Raw genomic sequence first — 2,297 nt, forward strand, 5'->3', positions numbered from 1 at the left:
CATAAAAAGGGCTTCCAAAATTATCTCAATACTAGGGACAACTCATTTAGGACACTAGCAGCAACACCACCACTGACAAAATCAGTAAGTGAGCCATGTGGTGTCCACCCTAACCCAAGGGAGTCTGTTGACAAGTTGATGAGTATATTTGGACATAGATAACTTGGGCTTGGCCCAGATTCACTCATCTCTTCAGTAGAGCTTTCCAGAGAGTTCAAATTATTTCCTAATTTGTTCCAGATCCACCATCTTTTGTGGCTTCATTTGGGCATTGAGGTCATCCAGAGATTATTGAGTTGGGCAATGGAGAAAGCAATGAGAGGAAAGAAATTCTTCATTCATTCATTCACTCACTCATACCCTCACTCACTAGTTGCGGAGTGTTTCCAGTGTCCTAGATTCAAAGTTGAAAAAAAAAAAAAAGCAGAAGTCCCACTGGGCTTGCCATTTAGCACACCAGATCCTTCTTAAATGCATTGTTTCAAAATAAATAGTTGGCTTCTCGTCAGACATTGCACTGCAGATGATTGGTTCCAGCTAATCACAGCAATACTATTCCCCTTGCCAATGATTGGTTTAAGGGTTAGCATGTGACCTGGTTCTGTCCAATGAGAGGTGAGAGAAAATTTGTTAGGGGCTTTTGGGAAACTTGCCATTACTAAGAAGAAGGCGTAAGAAGGGAGGGATACTCTTTACTGCTTGTAGCTATGTATTAATAAATGTGACACCTGCAATTCAGACAGCCATCTTACTATATGCCAGAAAAGGAAGCTAACTCTGAAGATAGCAGTATTGAAAGATGAGGGAGCTACATCTTCCTTGACATCGTTGTGCTGCTAAATCTATACCCCAAAGGGGACTCTGCCTGGTGGACCTCCTGTTATGCAAGATGATAGATTCTGTCAATGTTTTGGCCAGTGCGTGTTGGGGTTTCTTTTACCTGTACCCCAAAGCATCCTAATGGGTGCAGCGCTATTACTGTGGAACCCTGATTTATCTCTGAAGGAGCAGGTGGACAGAGCACTGGATTAACTTGTTTAGAATCACACAGCTGGGAAATGACTGATTAGGCTGTGAGCCCAGGACTCTGCCTTCAGTCCACCTCCCTCCCCAGGGGTGACTTACAGCTAGCCTCTAAGAATGAGCAGCCAGAAAATAACAGTTACTGAGTACTATCTAGTTTTTGGGCAGTGCTGGGTGCTGAGTGGTCGGGAGCTGATGCATAAAGAAAGAGAAGACGGTGAAGATCTTGATGGAACACAACGTGGCAGCTGGGATTGAGGGATCATGCATGTGGGCTCTGGGCTAAAGTCCCTGCCCCATCTGCCCACACTCTTCATAACCCACACCTGCTTTACCTGGGGTAATCCTGTACAGTGGAGGACACTTCCGGTTTGGATTCGGGTAGACCTGGTCCAAATCCTGTCTCGGTTACTTCCTAGGTGTGCGGGGTTGGGCATGTCCTGTCACCCTTCTTGGCTTTGGTCAACTCATGCTGGGTCACAGTCAGGAGCAGACATGCGGCGTGACATTGCCGGACACCTAGAAGGTGCTGAATGAAGGATGACTGTGGGCACAATCATGACAGTTAGGACTATCCAGAAACCTGAGAGTCATATGGCAGGAGGGCTAATCTTAGTCCCTGCTCTGCTATGATGGGTTGTGTGACCTCAAGCAATTCCTGCCTTCTCTGGGCCATTCGCTTATGCCCCTGATCCTCGGAAATTGTGGGATTGGGCTTGATAGCCATTTTCAAACTCTGTTCCATGGAGATCTAGAGATTCCTTGGCTGTATAATGAGGATAGGGACACAGGAGGAGAGACTGAAACCATCCCCTCCACACCCAACCTCATCTTCAACCATAGCAGCTCTTTGCTATTTCTTTCATGAGTCTAGGACTTTCTGTACGATGTTATTTGGAGAGAGATTCTGCTGCTATATATATGCAACTTGAAAACCCTCTAGATAGATCTCTACATTCCTTCTAGTTATTTAGTAGTTAATAGCATAAGCTTTGGTGTTCATTGCATCCAGATTTGAATGATGACTCTGCCGTTTATTATGTGTTAACTTGGGCAAGCCGATAACTTCCTGGCTCACAGTCTCCACATCTACCAGCCATTCAGGAGAACGTCCTTTCCCCTCATCTCCACCAGCAGGAGGTGTTAGAACTCTTTTTAATTTTTGTCAGTTCAATGGGTATAGAATAATATTTCATTGTTACTTTAGTTTGCACTTGTCTAACTTCTAGAGAATTGGAGCATCTTTTCCTCTGATTCTTGGCCATTTTGATTTC

Source organism: Homo sapiens, chromosome 12 (genome assembly GCF_000001405.40).
Source record: "Homo sapiens chromosome 12, GRCh38.p14 Primary Assembly".
Lineage (NCBI taxonomy): Eukaryota > Metazoa > Chordata > Mammalia > Primates > Hominidae > Homo > Homo sapiens.